The sequence below is a fragment of the Homo sapiens genome, chromosome 6, assembly GCF_000001405.40.
Source record: "Homo sapiens chromosome 6, GRCh38.p14 Primary Assembly".
Taxonomy (NCBI): Eukaryota; Metazoa; Chordata; class Mammalia; order Primates; family Hominidae; genus Homo; species Homo sapiens.
The window spans coordinates 85657590-85673079 of record NC_000006.12 but is presented as its reverse complement, the minus strand read 5'-3'; the positions used below and the strand labels follow the sequence as shown (position 1 = coordinate 85673079).

The 15490-nt window shown below is 41.3% G+C and overlaps 1 pseudogene, besides 2 other annotated features; it reads left to right on the top strand.

Annotated features, from left to right (window-relative positions):
- Positions 883 to 1083: a silencer, noted in NCBI's record as "peak5939 fragment used in MPRA reporter construct". NCBI's record gives its function as "represses an SCP1 promoter by STARR-seq MPRAs in K562 erythroleukemia cells {active_cell/tissue: K562}" and the evidence as "EXISTENCE:reporter gene assay evidence [ECO:0000049][PMID:32103011]".
- Positions 3349 to 3870: an enhancer, noted in NCBI's record as "OCT4-NANOG-H3K27ac hESC enhancer chr6:86378928-86379449 (GRCh37/hg19 assembly coordinates)". NCBI's record gives its function as "activates a minimal SCP1, AML or CMV promoter by ChIP-STARR-seq in naive H9 embryonic stem cells {active_cell/tissue: H9 hESC(naive)}" and the evidence as "EXISTENCE:reporter gene assay evidence [ECO:0000049][PMID:30033119]".
- PKMP3 (pyruvate kinase M1/2 pseudogene 3) lies at positions 12380 to 13209 on the top strand (annotated as a pseudogene).

Genomic DNA, 15490 nt, shown 5'->3' with positions numbered 1-15490 from the left:
AATGTAAGTCCAGAATCATTACTGGTGATGACGTTCAAAAGTCAGAATTGAGATATACCCCAAAGAACACACCTTGCTATTGCCCTAGAGAAGTTTAATGTGTTTTATGCCTATGTTCCTATTGATGCAGTTAAAGTGACCAACTATTAGCAACAAACCCCAAATTGTCCTTTGTACAAAAATAGTTGATTAGGCCAGGTGCAGTAGCTCATACCTGTAAACTCCCAGTACTTTGGGAGGCCAAAGTGGGAAGTTCGCTTGAAGCCAGGAATTTGAGACCAGTGGGCAACATAGCAAGCCCGTCTCTACAAAGTGTTAAAAAATTAGCTGGGCTACTTGGAGGATCTGGCTACGTGGTGGCTGAGATGGGAGGATTGCTTGAGCCCAGGAGTTCAAGACCGCAGTGAGCTATGATTGTGCCACTGCACTCTAGCTGGGCAAGAGTGAGACCCTTTCTCAAAAAAAAAAAAAGAAAAAGTTATTTAAAGTTATTTGCACTGTGTCTTTATTATGCTTATATCCATATTTTTCATAACTGAAGGCCATACCATCAATAAAAACACATTGAGTACATTAAAAATATGGATATGAGCAGTAACAAAAATATAGGCCAAATAACATCATTATTATTATCATCATTAATTATTTTAGAGACAGGTTCTCACTCTGTCACCCAGGCTGGAATGCAGTGGCCTAATCATAGCTCACTGCCACCTTGAACTCTTGGGCTCAAGGGATCCTCCCACTCAGCCTCCCAAATAACCAGGAGATCCTCTAGCATGTGCCACCAAGCTCAGCTGATTTGTATTACTTTTTATAGGGATGGGGTGTCACTATGTTTCCCAGGCTGCTCTTAAACTCCTGACCTCAAGTGATCCTTCCACCTTGGCCTCCAAAAGTGCTGAGATTACAAATGTGAGTCTCCTCACCAAGATGCTTTTTTTTTTTTTTTTAAGCAGTGAAATGAGAGCTCACTGTGTAGCCCAAGCTGGTCTTGAACTCCAGACCTCAAGTGGTCTTCCTGCCTCAGCCTCCTGAGTAGCTGGGATTATTGATGTGAGTGGCCACACCTATACCAAATAATTTTAATCAACCACTTTTTTTTTTTTTTTTAAGACAGAGTCGTGCTCTGTCGCCAGGCTGGAGTGCAGTGGTGCCATCTCAGCTCACTGCAACCTCTGCCTCCCGGGTTCAAGTGATTCTCCTGCCTCAGCCTCCTGAGTAGCTGGGACTACAGGCGCATGCCACTACGCCCAACTAATTTTTGTATTTTTAGTAGAGACAGGGTTTCACCATGTTGGCCAGGATGGTCTTGATCTCTTGACCTCGTGATCTGCCCACCTCAGGCTCCCAAAGTGTTGGGATTACAGGCGTGAGCCACCGCACCCGGCCCTAACCTGTACTTTTGTATAAAAGTAGTTGATTAAGGCCGGGCACGGTGGTTCACACCTGTAATCCCAGCACTTTGGGAGGCCAAGGTGGGCAGATCACTTGAGGTCAGGAGTTCGAGACCAACTTGGCCAACATGGTGAAACCCCGTCTCTACTAAAAACACAAAAATTAGTCGGGTGTGGTGGCACGCACCTGTAATCCCAGCTACTTGGGAGGCTGAAGCAGGAGAATTGCTTGAACCCAGGAGGCAGATGTTGCAGTGAGCCAAGATTGTGCCACTGGACTCCAGCCTGGGTGACAGAGCAAGACTCCGTCTCAAAAAACAAAATAAATAACAAAAGTACAGTTTGGGAATTGTTGCTAATAGTTGATTAGTTTAATTGCTTCAATGAGAACATAAAGCATTAAACACAGTAAACTACTCTGGAGCAATAGTAAGGTGTACTCCTTGAGATACATCGTAATTCTGACTTGAATTTCATTGCTGATGGAGATTCTGAGTTTATGTTACATTTCTTTTTCGAAAGTGAATGTACACTGACTAGCCCTTAAAAAAAAGAAAAAAAGCAGCCGGGCGTGGTGGCACACGCCTGTAATCCCAGCACTTTGGGAGGCCAAGGCGGGCATTATCACTTGAGGTCAGGAGTTCAAGACCAGCTTGGCCAACATGGTGAAACCCCATCTCTACTAAAAATACAAAAATTAGTCTGGCTTGATGGTACACACCTGTAATCCCAGCTACTCCGGAGGCTGAGGCAGGAGAATCGCTTGAGCCCAGGAGTTGAAGACCAGCCTAGGCACAGCAAGACCCCATCTCAAGAGAAAGAAAGAGAGAGAGAGAGAAAGGGAGGAAGGGAGAGAAAAAGAGAAAGGAAGGAAGAGAGGGAAGGAGGGAAGGAGGGAGGGAGGGACACAAACATTGTTCTGAGTTTGGCCTCATGCCCAGAAACGTCAGGATAGTTTTGAAATTCATGGACTTGTCCCCACATATTGATGTAGCTCACTTTCTTGAAGGATATTGCTTGCTTTCAATTCAATCTGTTCCTCAGGAGATTGAACCATACTGATAGACTAAGTGTGTGATGATTCAGAAATATACCAAGGTTTGCATTCATTTGTTCATTGAGCAAATATCCTGAATGCCTACCATGTATAGGTACTATCCTAGGCACTAAAGATACAGTAGTGAACCAAACAAAAACCTCTGCCCTTGTGGAGCTTACATTGTAGGAAGAGGAGAAGGACATTATATAATAAATAAATTATAAGCTATGTTAAAAAATGAGAAATGACACAGAAAAAATAGAATATGAGACATTGGGAGTGGGTTTGGGGAGATAATTAGTGTTGCAGTTTCAAATGGGGATTCTCTCATCTGAGAGGCAATTGAAGTAAATGGGGTTGACAGAATAGGCTTCAATGAAAAGTTGAGATTAATTAAGCAGAGATTTAGATATGTGCATAGCTCAATCTCTCACCTAACAGAGGGTGAGAGATTGATCTGTGCATATATCTGGGAAAAGGGCATTTCCATAGCAGTGGCCCATAGGAAGGAGCATGCATAGTGAGAAAGGAAGCAAGGCCTGCAGCTTATGTAGGGCTTAATGGGTCATTGAAAGGATTTCATTCTTAGTCAAATGGGAACCACTGTGAAAGAAAACACAGAAACTCCAAGTATGATTCATACACATCAAAATCTATGAACCCTACCCCTAGGGCCCAGATTGTGGCCTCTAAATACCACTTACCACTAAAAGGAAACAGATCTGAGACAGGAAATGTACAAGATGAGCTTGTTGTACGTTGCTATAACAGGTAGCAAGACTGCTGGAGTTGTGTTAGAAGAACTCAGGAGGCCAAGCACGGTGGCTCACGCCTGTAATCCCAGCAAGGATTACAAAACAGGCAGATCACTTCAGGTCAGGAGTTTGAGACCAGCCTGGCCAACGTGGTGAAACCCCATCTCTACTAAAAATACAAAAATTAGCTGGGCATGGCGACGGGTGCCTGTAATCCCAGCTACTCAGGAGGCTGAGACAGGAGAATTGCTTGAACCCGGGAAGCGGAGGTTGCAGTGAGCTGAGATCTCGCCACTGCACTCCAGCCTGGGTGACAGAGGGAGATCCATCTCAAAAAAAAAAGGAACTCAGGAGTAAACTTGGAGAGTCTCTCACTTTCCAAAGATAGAAAATTTGACTATTATTGAGGTGTAATAGAGAAAAAATAGAGAAAAAGACATGTCTTCAAATCTATGAATTCAGAATGATACTTTAAAAAACTGAATTTAATATAAGTGTTAAAGGATGCTAATCATCAGTTTCAGAACTGCAAATAAAGGGACTTTCCAATACCAACTGTACTGACATAACCAAATAAAAGGTGATAAAAAGTTTGTCTTTATTGATATATTCCAGTTAACAATGAAAAAAGATTGGCATAATTAGAAGATCATCATTTTGCAACATTCTAATGAATTAATGTATAGGCAATAAATATCAATGACTGCTAACATCCAAAAAAGAGGTGATAAGATATTATATGTCCCTGAAGAAAGAATTTGCCTCTGCCTATTTCAGACTCTTGTCTGAAAACAACAAAAATGAATATGAATTTGATAAAGCCTCTGGATATAATTACTAATTTATAGATTACAAAGACATATGTTAAACTACATTACAAAGATACAATCAGCAAAATCCAGACTATGGAAAACTCTACAAATGATTTCTATAACAAATAAATTGCAAGGAAAGAAACCAACCAAACGAGATGAATGGGTAACCTACAAATCAAGAAACTGAAAAGATATATCAACATTCTCAATGTTTGCATCCCAGTTGGATTCTCATTCAATATTGTTTTAAAAAATGAATTTATGAGATATATGTTTAAACACAGGCTATTTCATGTATTAAAAAATAATTGGGACTTTGTTAGATGTGATAATGGCATTGTGGCTCTTTTTGTTGTTCAAGAGGCTGTATCTTTTAGACAAATATACTGAGTTATTTATGGATGAAATGATTTGATGTCTGAGATTTGTTGCAAAATAATACAGAAAACAAAGGAAGTGGTTGAAGGGTAGAGATGAAACAAGATTAGCCTGAAGTTGATAATTGTTAATGTTGGATGATGGGCTCTTTGGAGTTTATTATACTCTTTCTCTATTTTTGTACATGTTTGAAATTTATAGAATAAAATTTTTTTAATCTGTGAATTTTTTAAGTTGATTTAATTTCTAACAAAAGATATTGTGTTTCTTCATAATTTGGTTTTATTGTGTTGTGGCTAGTGCTGTAACAGAACAGGGCCGTTTCCTGCTGCCAGAAACGTAGCCCACCTGTCCATATAGATATATAATGTCTTCATGATTCCACAGTGCTCTCATATGTTCTCTTTGTGATTAAATTCAGGGTATTCCAGTCAGAGCATATGCTTTAGAGATACTTTACATGCATTAAATGAAATAATGCAGGCCAGATGAGGTGGCTCATGCCTATAATTCCAGCACTCTGGGAGGCCGAGGTGGGCAGATCACCAAATGTCAGGAGTTCAAGTCCAGCCTGGCCAACATGGTGAAACCCCATCTCTACTAAAAATCTAAAAATACAAAAAATAGCCAGGCGTGGTGGCAGGTGCCAGTAATCCCAGCTACTCGGGAGGCTGAGGCAGGAGAAACACTTGAACCCAGGAGGTGGAGGTTGCAGTGAGCCTAGATCGCGCCATTGCACTTCAATCTGGGTGACAGATGGAGACTACATATATAAAAAAAAAAAAAAGGAAGAACAAGAAAAGAAATGATGCATATAAAATGTTTAATATAGCGCTTGTCATTATGCATTAGCTATAACTGTTAATAAAATTGGGTGTTTCTATGCATATCAGTAAACACAACATTGTGAGCCACTACGTTCGAATAAGTTAAGTCTATCAGATACCTTCAGTTAAAAAAATATGTGACCTGCAAAGTCAGGAGTTTGAGACCAGCCTGACCAACATGGTGAAACCCCATCTCTACTAAAAATACAAAAATTAGCCAGGCTTTGTGGCAGGCTTCTATAATCCCAGCTACTCAGGAGGCTGAGGAAGGAGAATCGCTCGAACCCAGGAGGCGGAGGTTGCAGTGAGTGAAGATTGCACCACTGCACTCCAGCCTGGGCCACAGAGTGAAGACTCCATCTCAAAAAAAACAAAATACAAACAAACAAAAACAACAAAAAAACCAGCACGGCAGGGAGTGGTGGCTCACACTTATAATTCCAGCACTTTGGGAGGCCAAGACACACAGATGACTTGAGCCCAGGAGCCTCCCAAGTAGCTGCAACTAGCAGGTGCATGCCACCACACACAACTGGCTTTTTTTTTTTTTTCCTTTTTTTGTGGAGACAGGGTCTCTCTCTATTACCCAGATTGGTCTCAAATTCCTGGACTCAAGTGATCCTCTCACCTCAGCCTCCCAAAGTGCTGGAGTGCTCCCACTGCACTTGACAAGGTGAAGAACTTACAGCTGGAGAGTTTAATGCCAGCAAAGGATGGTTTGAGATATATGTGTATATATATGTGTCTATATATATACGTACAAGCCTGTACAGTATGTTATTGTACTGAATACTATGACAAGTGTAAAACAATAGTAACTATATATGTATCTAAACATAAAAAAGATACAGTAAAAATAGTGCATTGTAATCTTATGGAACCGCTATCATGTATGAAGTCCATCTTTGGCCAGAAAAGGTAATTATACTGTGCATGATTGTAATTTAAGTAATTTTCATCTCTAGATTACTTATAATACCTAATACAATGTGGCCAGGCACGGTGGCTCACGCCTGTAATCCCACTACTTTGGGAGGCCAAGGCAGACAAATTGCTTGAGTCCGGAAGTTCGAGACTAGCTTGGGCGACATGGTGAAACCCCATCTCTACAAATATAAAAATAAGGCCGGTGCAGTGGCTCATGCCTGTAATCCCAGCACTTTGGGAGGCCAACGATGTCAGGAGTGTGAGACCAGCCTCGCTGACGTGGTAAAACCCTGTCTCTACTAAAAATACAACGAATAGCTGGGCATGGTGGCGGGCACCTGTAATCCCAGCTACTCGGGAGGCTGAGGCAGGAGAATTGTTTGAACCCAGGAGTCAGAGGTTGCAGTGAGCTGAGACTGCACCATTGCACTATAGCCTGGGTGACAGGGCGAGACTCTGTCTCAAATAAAATAAAAATAAAAAATTAGCCAGGCATGGTGGCATGCACCTGTAATCCCAGCTACTCAGGAGGCTGATGTGGGAGAATCGCTTGAGCCCTGGAGGCAGAGGTTGCAGTGATCCAAGATCACACCACTCCACTGCAGCTGCTGGGTGATAGAGCAAGACCTGGTCTCTGGTCTCAAAAAAAAAAAAAAAAAAAAAAAAAAAAAAAAAAAACTAATACATACAATGTAAATGCTATGTTGTAAATAGTTGCTGTATTTTTATTTGTCATTTCTTATTGTTGTACTGTTATTTTTAATTGTTCTTTTCCTAATATTTTTGTTTTGCAGTTAGTTGAATCCATGGACATGAAACCCACAGATATAGAGGGTTGGCCCGGTGCAGTGGCTCACGCCTGTAATCCCAGCACTTTGGGAGGCCAAGGCGGGTGGATCACCTGAGGTCAGAAGCTTGAGACCAGCCTGGCCAACATGGTAAAACCCCATCTCTACTAATAATACAAAACAATTTGCTGGGCATGGTGGTGCACGCTTGTAATCCAAGCTACTCCAGAGGCTGAGGCAGAAGAATCGCTTGAATCCGAGAGGCAAAGGTTGCAGTGAGCCCAGATCACACCACTGCTCTCCAACCTGGGCAACAAGAGCAAAACTCCGTCAAAAAAAAAAGATACAGGGTCAACTGTACACATTAAACACTTCTATCAACTAGTGATGTCAGTCTTGTCCATTGTATTATTGCCTATCTTACTAAACAGTCATATTTCAGGAAGTACAATATACTCAAAAACTAAGTTAATGTTCTTTGTAGATTTATGGTTAATGGATGATTCATATAATAGAAACTTAAATTTATTTGACCATTCTATTTAATATAGAATAAATACAACTAGCCAGGCATGGTGGCTCATGTCTATAATGCCAGCACTTGGGGAGGCCAAGGTGGGAGGCTCACTTGAGCATAGGAATTCAAGGCCAGCCTGGGCAACACAATGTGAGACCCGTCTCTATGAAAATTTTAAAAATTAGCCAAGCATGGTAACACAAGTCTGTGGTCCCAGCTACTTGGGAGGCTGAGGCGCGAGAAGTCCAGGAGGTCAACGCTGCAGTGAGCTGTGTGTGTGCCACTGCATCCTAGCCTGGGCAACAGAGCAAGACCCTGTCTCAAAAATAAAGAATAAATACAACCTATTAAGCTTGAGAGATCCAGTGAAATCCAAATAAGAGAAACTGTGTCCTACACAGTTTTCTGTTAACCATTTTCTTGGTATTTAAATTATTTATCAAATTTTAACTTCAATAAAAAATTATTCTGGAGAACACATACCTCTAGAGTAAGTAAAGTATACACTTTCAATTTTTAGACATGAGGTTTTGAGGTGTTTGACTGTATCTAATTTCCTAAAGGCTCTATTTTTTAACCTACAAAAATTATAAAAAGATATATAAAAGATATGAAATGTAAAAATAAGGAAGATATGAAGATTAAAATAACCTATAATCCCACCACTCAGAGGTAACTGTTATACAATTTTTGATGTATTATTCTATGCAGATATAAATTTTAATAAAATTTGAATTATATACAGTTTGTCATCCTGATTCCTTTCATTTAATATTCTTTTTTAAAAAATATTTATTTATTTTAGACACAGGATCTTGCTATGTAACCCAGGCTGGCCTCGAACTCCAGTGTTCAAGCAATTCTTGGCTTCAACCTCCCCAATAAATCGGACTACAGGCGAGGGCCACCACACCCAGCTCATTTAATTTCTATCATGACAATTTTCAACATTATTAAAAATTCTACTCATTCTTTTCATTGGCAATATTGAGAGCATTTTTTTTTATTCTTTTTTTTTTTTTTTTTTGAGACAGAGTCTCACTCTGTTGCCAGGCTGGAGTGCAGTGGCGCGATCTCGGCTCACTGCAACCTGTACCTCCCGGGTTCAAGCAATTCTCCTGTCTCAGCTTCCCGAGTAGCTGGGACTACAGGCACGCGCCACTATGCCCAGCTAATTTTTGTATTTTTGGTAGAGACAGGGTTTCACTATGTTGGCCAGGATAGTCTCAATCTTTTGACCTTGAGATCTGCCTACCTTGGCCTCCCAAAGTGCTGGGATTACAGGCATGAGCCACTGTGCCTGGATTATTTTTTAATTTTTTTTTTTTGAGACAGAGTCTCACTTGGTTGCCCAGGCTGCAGTGCGCACTACCACGCCCAGCTAATTTTTGTATTTTTAGTAGAAATGGGGTTTCACCATGTTGGCCAGACTGGTCTCGAACTCCTGACCTCAAGTGATCCACCTGCCTTGGCCTCCCAAAGTGCTACAATTACAGGTGTGAGCCACTGCGCCTGGCTGCATTTTATTTTTGTAGATATTAAACGGTTATTTAATCAATTTTAGAAATTTAGGTTGCCTTTAATTTTATCCTGATGACAAAGTTTATAGCAATAAATAGTCCAAATGTTTAATGGTACACTGGTTATCTCTGGACAGTAGAATAATCTCTAGCTAGTGGGTTTATATTACCATTAAAAAATTAAACCTCTCTGGTAATCTATCCTCTCATATCCATTTGCAGCCATTCTAGTCTACACTACCCCCCAACATGGCCCTCTCTCTCTCAATCCTTCCATTGCACAGTCTACAGGGATAAGAAACTACCCCTATATCCTCCACCATTTTTTTTGGGTGCATGCATTTCTTCCACGTCCTTGCCCTAATTAAAATCTGATTCTTCCTTCCTTAGGGTACTGCTTTCTCTTGCTGCAGCTTGCTTCCTCCCTCAGGTATGAAGTTAAGGTTAGTATCTTCCTTGCTCCGTACTGCCACTTTTTTTTTTTTTTTTTTGAGACAGAGTCTCACTCTGTCACCCAGGCTGGAGGGCAGTGTCACAATCTCGGCTCACTGCAACGTCCGGCTCCCAGGTTCAAGCGATTCTTATGCCTCAGCCTCCCTAGTAGCTGGGATTACAGATGCATGTCACCACACCCAGCCAATGTATGTATTTTTATTTATTTTTTATTTTATTTTATTTTTTTGAGATGGAGTCTTGCCCTGTTGCCCAGGCTGGAGTGCAGTGGAACGCTCTCGGCTCACTGCAGCCTCCACCTCCCAGGTTCAAGCGATTCTCTGCCTTAGCATCCCAAGTAGCTGGGATTACAGGCGTGTGCCACCACGCCCAGCTAATTTTTGTATTTTTAGTAGAAATGGGGTTTCACCATGTTGGCTAGGCTGGTCTTGAACTCCTGACCTCAAGCGATCCACCTGCCTCTGCCTCCCAAAGTGCTGCAATTACAGGCGTGAGACACCATGCCCAGCCTAATTTATATACTTTTAGTAGAGACAAGGTTTCACCATGTTGGCCAGGCTAGTGTTGAACTCCTGGCCTCAAGTGATCTGCCCGCCTCAGCCTCCCAAAGTGCTGGGATTACAGGCGTGAGCCACCGTGTCCGGCCTCCCTACTGCCACTTCTTAACAATTACTCCTCCATCTTTATGTAAAACCCCCTGATCTTTTCATGTTCATGGCCACTTGGCCTGTCACCTTTTGTCTTACTTCGAGGCTATCATTTTCTTACTTTGTGGTTACTGCCCCTTATTAATTTTGAAGAGTTTGGGACCAGGTTCATGGCTCTATTCTGTAATATCTATTTCTAATATTTACATGTCAATGTCCATACAATTTGGTTTATCAGTTCTTTGACTTCCTCCACTTTCTCCCTCCACTTCAGTCCTTTTTACCTGGGATTCCACTGTCCCATAGAGAACCATGGATAAAATTCAAGAAGTCTATGAACTTGGACAGGGGAAAATATGTATACTTTTACTAAACACTAACTGAAATTTAGCATTTCTTTCAATAACAAATGTAAACTGTACACCACAATAGTACTAGCAATATCTATGGGTTTGTCACCAATAGAAAGCACAGCTATTTTTTTTTCCAAAGAGTCATCTGCATCCCCATGTTTATTGCAGCACTATTCACAATAGCTAAGATATGAAATCATCCTAGGTGTCCAACAACAGATAAATGGGTAAATAAAATTTAGGCTGGACACAGTGACTCACACTTGCAATCCCAGCACTTTGGGAAGCTGAAGCAGGAGAATTGCTTGAGCCAAGGAGTTCAAAACCAGCCTGGGCAACATAGAAAGATTCCATCTCTATGAAAAATTTAAAAAATTAGCTAAGTACAGTAGTGTGTGCCTGTAGTCCCAGTTCCTTGGGAGGCTGAGGTGGGAGGATCACTTGAGCCCAGGAGATTGAGGCTGCAATGAGCCATGCAGTGAGCCATGATAGCACCACTGCACTCCAACCTGAGCAACAGAGCAAGACCCTGTCTCAAAAAGAAAAAAAATGGAAAATGTGGTGTGTATATATACACAATGGGCTACTATTCAGTCATAAAAAAGATGACATCATGTCATTTGCAGTAACATGAATGGAACTGGAAGACACTATGTTAAGTGAAATAAGCCAGGAACAGAAAGTTAAACACCACATGTTCTCACTCATGTGGAAACTAAAAAAAGTTGATCTTGCCAGGCATGGTGGCTCACGCCTGTAATCCCAGCACTTTGGGAGGCCGAGGTGGGTAGAACACCTGAGGTCAGGAGTTCGAGACCAGCCTGGCCAACATGGTGAAACCCTGTCTCTACTAAAAACACGAAAATTAGCTGGATGTGGTGGTGGGTGCCTGTAATCCCAGCTACTCAAGAGGCTGAGGCAGGAGAATTGCTTGAACCCAGGAGGCGGAGGTTGCAGTGAGCCAAGATTGCGCCATTGTACTCCAGCCAGGGGGACAAGAGTGAGACTTTGTCTCAAAAAAAAAAAAAAAAAAAGTTGATCTCATAGAAGTAAAATGTAGAACGAAGGATACTAGAGATTAGCAGGGGTATGGGAGATGGGAAGGTAGGGAGAGATTTGTTAAAGGATTTAAAATTAAGGCCAGGTGTGGTGGCTTATGCCTATAATCCCAGCACTTTGGGAGGCCGAGGTGGGCGGATCACCTGAGGTCAGGAGTTCAAGACCAGACTGACCAACATGGAGAAACCCCGTCTCTCCTAAAAATACAAAAAACTAACTGGGCATGGTGGTGCATGCCTGTAATTCCAGCTACTCGGGAGGCTGAGGCAGGAGAATCGCTTGAACCCGGGAGGCGGAGGTTGCCATGAGCCGAGATTGCGCCACTACACTCCAGCCTGGGCAACAAAAGCGAAACTCCATCTCAAAAAAAAAAAAAAGGCATATAAAATTATAGCTGGGTAGGAGGAATAAGTTCTAGTGTTCTACACCACTGTGGGATGACTATAGTTAACAATAATACATACTTTCAGGTAACATGAAGGAGGATATTGAATGTTCCTAACACAAAGAAATGATAAATGTTTGAGATGGTGGATGTACTAATTGCCCTGATCTGATGACTATACATTATATATATTGAAACATCAGTATGTACCCCATGAATATGTACAATTATATGTCAACTTAAACACATTTAAAAGTAAAAAAAAAAAAATCCAAAACACGCAAGGAACTGAGCCAGCACGAATAAGAATTAGCAAAATCTTCAAACCTCAAGACCAGACTCACAAGGACTTCAGATACAGAAATTTTAAATAAAAATTATAAAATGAGTATGTTAAAATGTTTAAAGAAATAAAGGAAGGCATTGGTATATGATACAGAAATAAAAGACCATCAAAAATAATTTGGATGACATGAAAACAATCAAATAGACATTCTGGAAATAAAACATATATAATGGACAGGAGTGAATGTCCCTAGGCTCCTGACCTCTCTGCATTTGCAAGTAGTCTGAGCCAGAAAACGCTGAAAGACCTCAGAAGCCAAGTGGAAGCCCCACAGTGAAGCCAGGAGGGCCTTCATTTCAGACTCAGCAGCTGCCCACGGTGGTGGCTGACACACTGCTGTAGCATGTGTGCTGCCTGAACACTCACTGGCCACCCCCACAGCCCAGAGCACTGGCATCATCTGTACTATCGGCCTAGTTTCCTGATTGGTGGAAATGTTGATGATTAAGTCTGGAATTAATATGGCTTGTCTGAACTTACGAGTACCACGCAGAGACCATCAGGAATGTGTGCACAACTATGGAAAGCCTTGCTTCTGACCCCAATCTCTAGCGGCTAGTTGCTGTGGCTCTGGACACTAACGGGCCTGAGATCTGAACTGGGCTCACACAGAGCAGTGTCCCCATGGAGGTGGAGCTGAAGAAGGGAGCCACCTTCAGATCACACTGGATAATGCCTACATGGAAAACTTATGATGAGAACTTCCTGTAGCTGGACTACAAGAACATTTGTAAGGTAGTGGAAAGGGGCAGCAAGATCTATAGATTTAATAACTTATTTCTCTGCAGTTGGAGCAGAAAGGTACTGACCTCCTGGTGATAGCAATGGAAAATTATGGCTCCTTGGGCAGCAAAAAGGGTGTAGACCTTCCTGGTGACTGTGGACCTGCTTGCCATGTCAGAAAAGGACATCCAGGATCTGAAGTTTGGGGTAGAATGGGATGTGGATATGGTGTTTGCCTCTTTCATCCATGTGGCATCTAATGTCCATGAAATTAGAAAGGCAATTATTGCAAACTGGAGCAAGGTGCCCACTTGCCCACCAGAGTTAGGCTCTTACCTTCCCAGAGGAACTGAGACCCACAGCTATTTTTATATATCTTACAGTTCAGATCAGATACAAATATGTAAACCTCTACATTATTTCTATGTAGAAATTATGATACTCTTTAAGCCTGTCACAGATTTTGTTATTTAATGCAAAGAAGCACATATATTACTATGGGACACTTTTGGTTTGTTTAAATATTTTGATAGTTGTATTTTAATGTAAAGGGTTTCATTTGTAATCTTATACAGATGGTCCCCAACTTACAATGGTTCAACTTATGATTTTTCATCTTTACAACGGCATGAAAGCAATACATTTTCAGTAGAAACTGTAGGTCAAATACTCATACAACCATTCTGTTTTTCACTTTACTGCAGTATTTAATAAACATATGAGATATTCAAGATTTTAACTTTGCGTTAGATGATTCTGTCTAATTATAAGATAAAGTAAGTGTTCTGAGCACATTTAAGGTAGACTAAGAAAACTATGATGTTCAGTAGGTTAGTTATATTAAATGCATTTTCAACTTACAGTATTTTCAATGGGGTTTATTGGAACGTAACCTCATTGTAAATTGAAGAGCATCTTTTATGCATTTTTAAATATGTTTTGAGAAGGGGTCAATAGGCTTCACCAGACTGGCAAAGTGTCTATGGCATGAAAAGTTAAGGACCTCTGCATTTCATATCAAATCCTACTTGTTTTTAACTTCCCTTCCTATCCAGCCTAATTTCGAGGTTTATTGGTGGCCCTCTCGTGCAATATTCCCAACTTCCTTACCCTGTCTTCTTTCCTGGGCAACTACTGAAATCACTTTTGCAAAAATTATAACAATGAGAGAAATCTAACATAACTGACTCTATCTTGCTTCTAACTTCACAAGGCCTAACTACTCTTGCTCATTCCCAGGCATAGTTCAAGCTAACTATGGGAAGACTTTAGTTTATAGTTTAAAGCAAGGATGACAGCAGTCCCTTCTTAAAACTAACCCTTATTGTTCAGGAACCAAAACTACCTCCCTAAAGCTAATGAAAGTCCACAAGGTTAGAATTATGGGAGTGGCCTGAATTCTGTGAAGATGTAGATACAGTTAAACGATAACAAGCCATTGTTCCCTAGCTTGCTTTTCTATAATTGTTTACTCTTCAGGAGTTACAGAGCTGGAGGTCACAAGATTTGTAACCCTAATTGCTCCTATAAATAACATTACTATTGTAAAATCTAAGACTGGTCTTTGAGATATTTTTCAGACTTTGGCATCCTGGCAGATGCTAACTGTACCTGTGACCCATGCCAAAGAACTGACTCTGTGGGTCCTGTGATTCCCTGACACCCCCCATGCAGAAACTGATTCAGGGCACAAAGACAATTTCAATGTCCCTATGATTTCATCCCTAACCAATCAGCAGTATTCATTCCCTAAACCCAGTCCACCAAATTATCTTTCAAAACCCTAGCCTCTGAGTTCTCGGGGAGTCAGATTTGAGAAATATCTCCTATCCTTCCATTCAGTTGCCTTGCTATAATTAAACTCTCTGCTGCAACACTGCTATCTCATTGTATTGGCTTTTCTGTGCAGTGGGCAAGAAGAACCCATTAGTCTGTAACACTACCTGGAAAAACCCCAGCTATGGATTGATTCAACCAGTTGCCTTTCCCAATAACATGCCAGTATTACTGAGCCTTGCTGCCTAAATCACATGGCAGCACAGACTTATGCCACCATAAATTTATAGTCTCCAACTCAACCGGGCTCTCAATACTACAGGCAATTCTTATTTCCCTTATCAGTTTTCTTTTTTTTTCTTTTTTCTTTTTTTTTTTTTTGAGACGGAGTATCACTCTGTCACCCAGGCTGGAGTGCAATGGCATGGTCTCGGCTCACTGCAACCTCCACCTCCCAGGTTCAGTGATTCTCCCACCTCAGCCTCCTGAGTAGCTGGGACTACAGGCACGTGCCAACACACCTGGCTAATTTTTGTATTTTTAGTAGAGACAGGGTTTCACCATGTTGGTCAGGCTGGTCTAGAACTCCTGACCTCGTGATACATCTGTGTCAGCCTCCTAAAGTGCTGGGATTACAAGCATGAGCCACCGTGCCCAGCCACTTTGTCAGTTTTCGTTCCTCAGACTTCCTTTCTCCTCCACATCTCTTCACTCCTTTCTCCCCTATCCCAATTCTTTCCTCACCTAAAAATATGATTTTACCTCCTTCATGGAGAATTTTGATG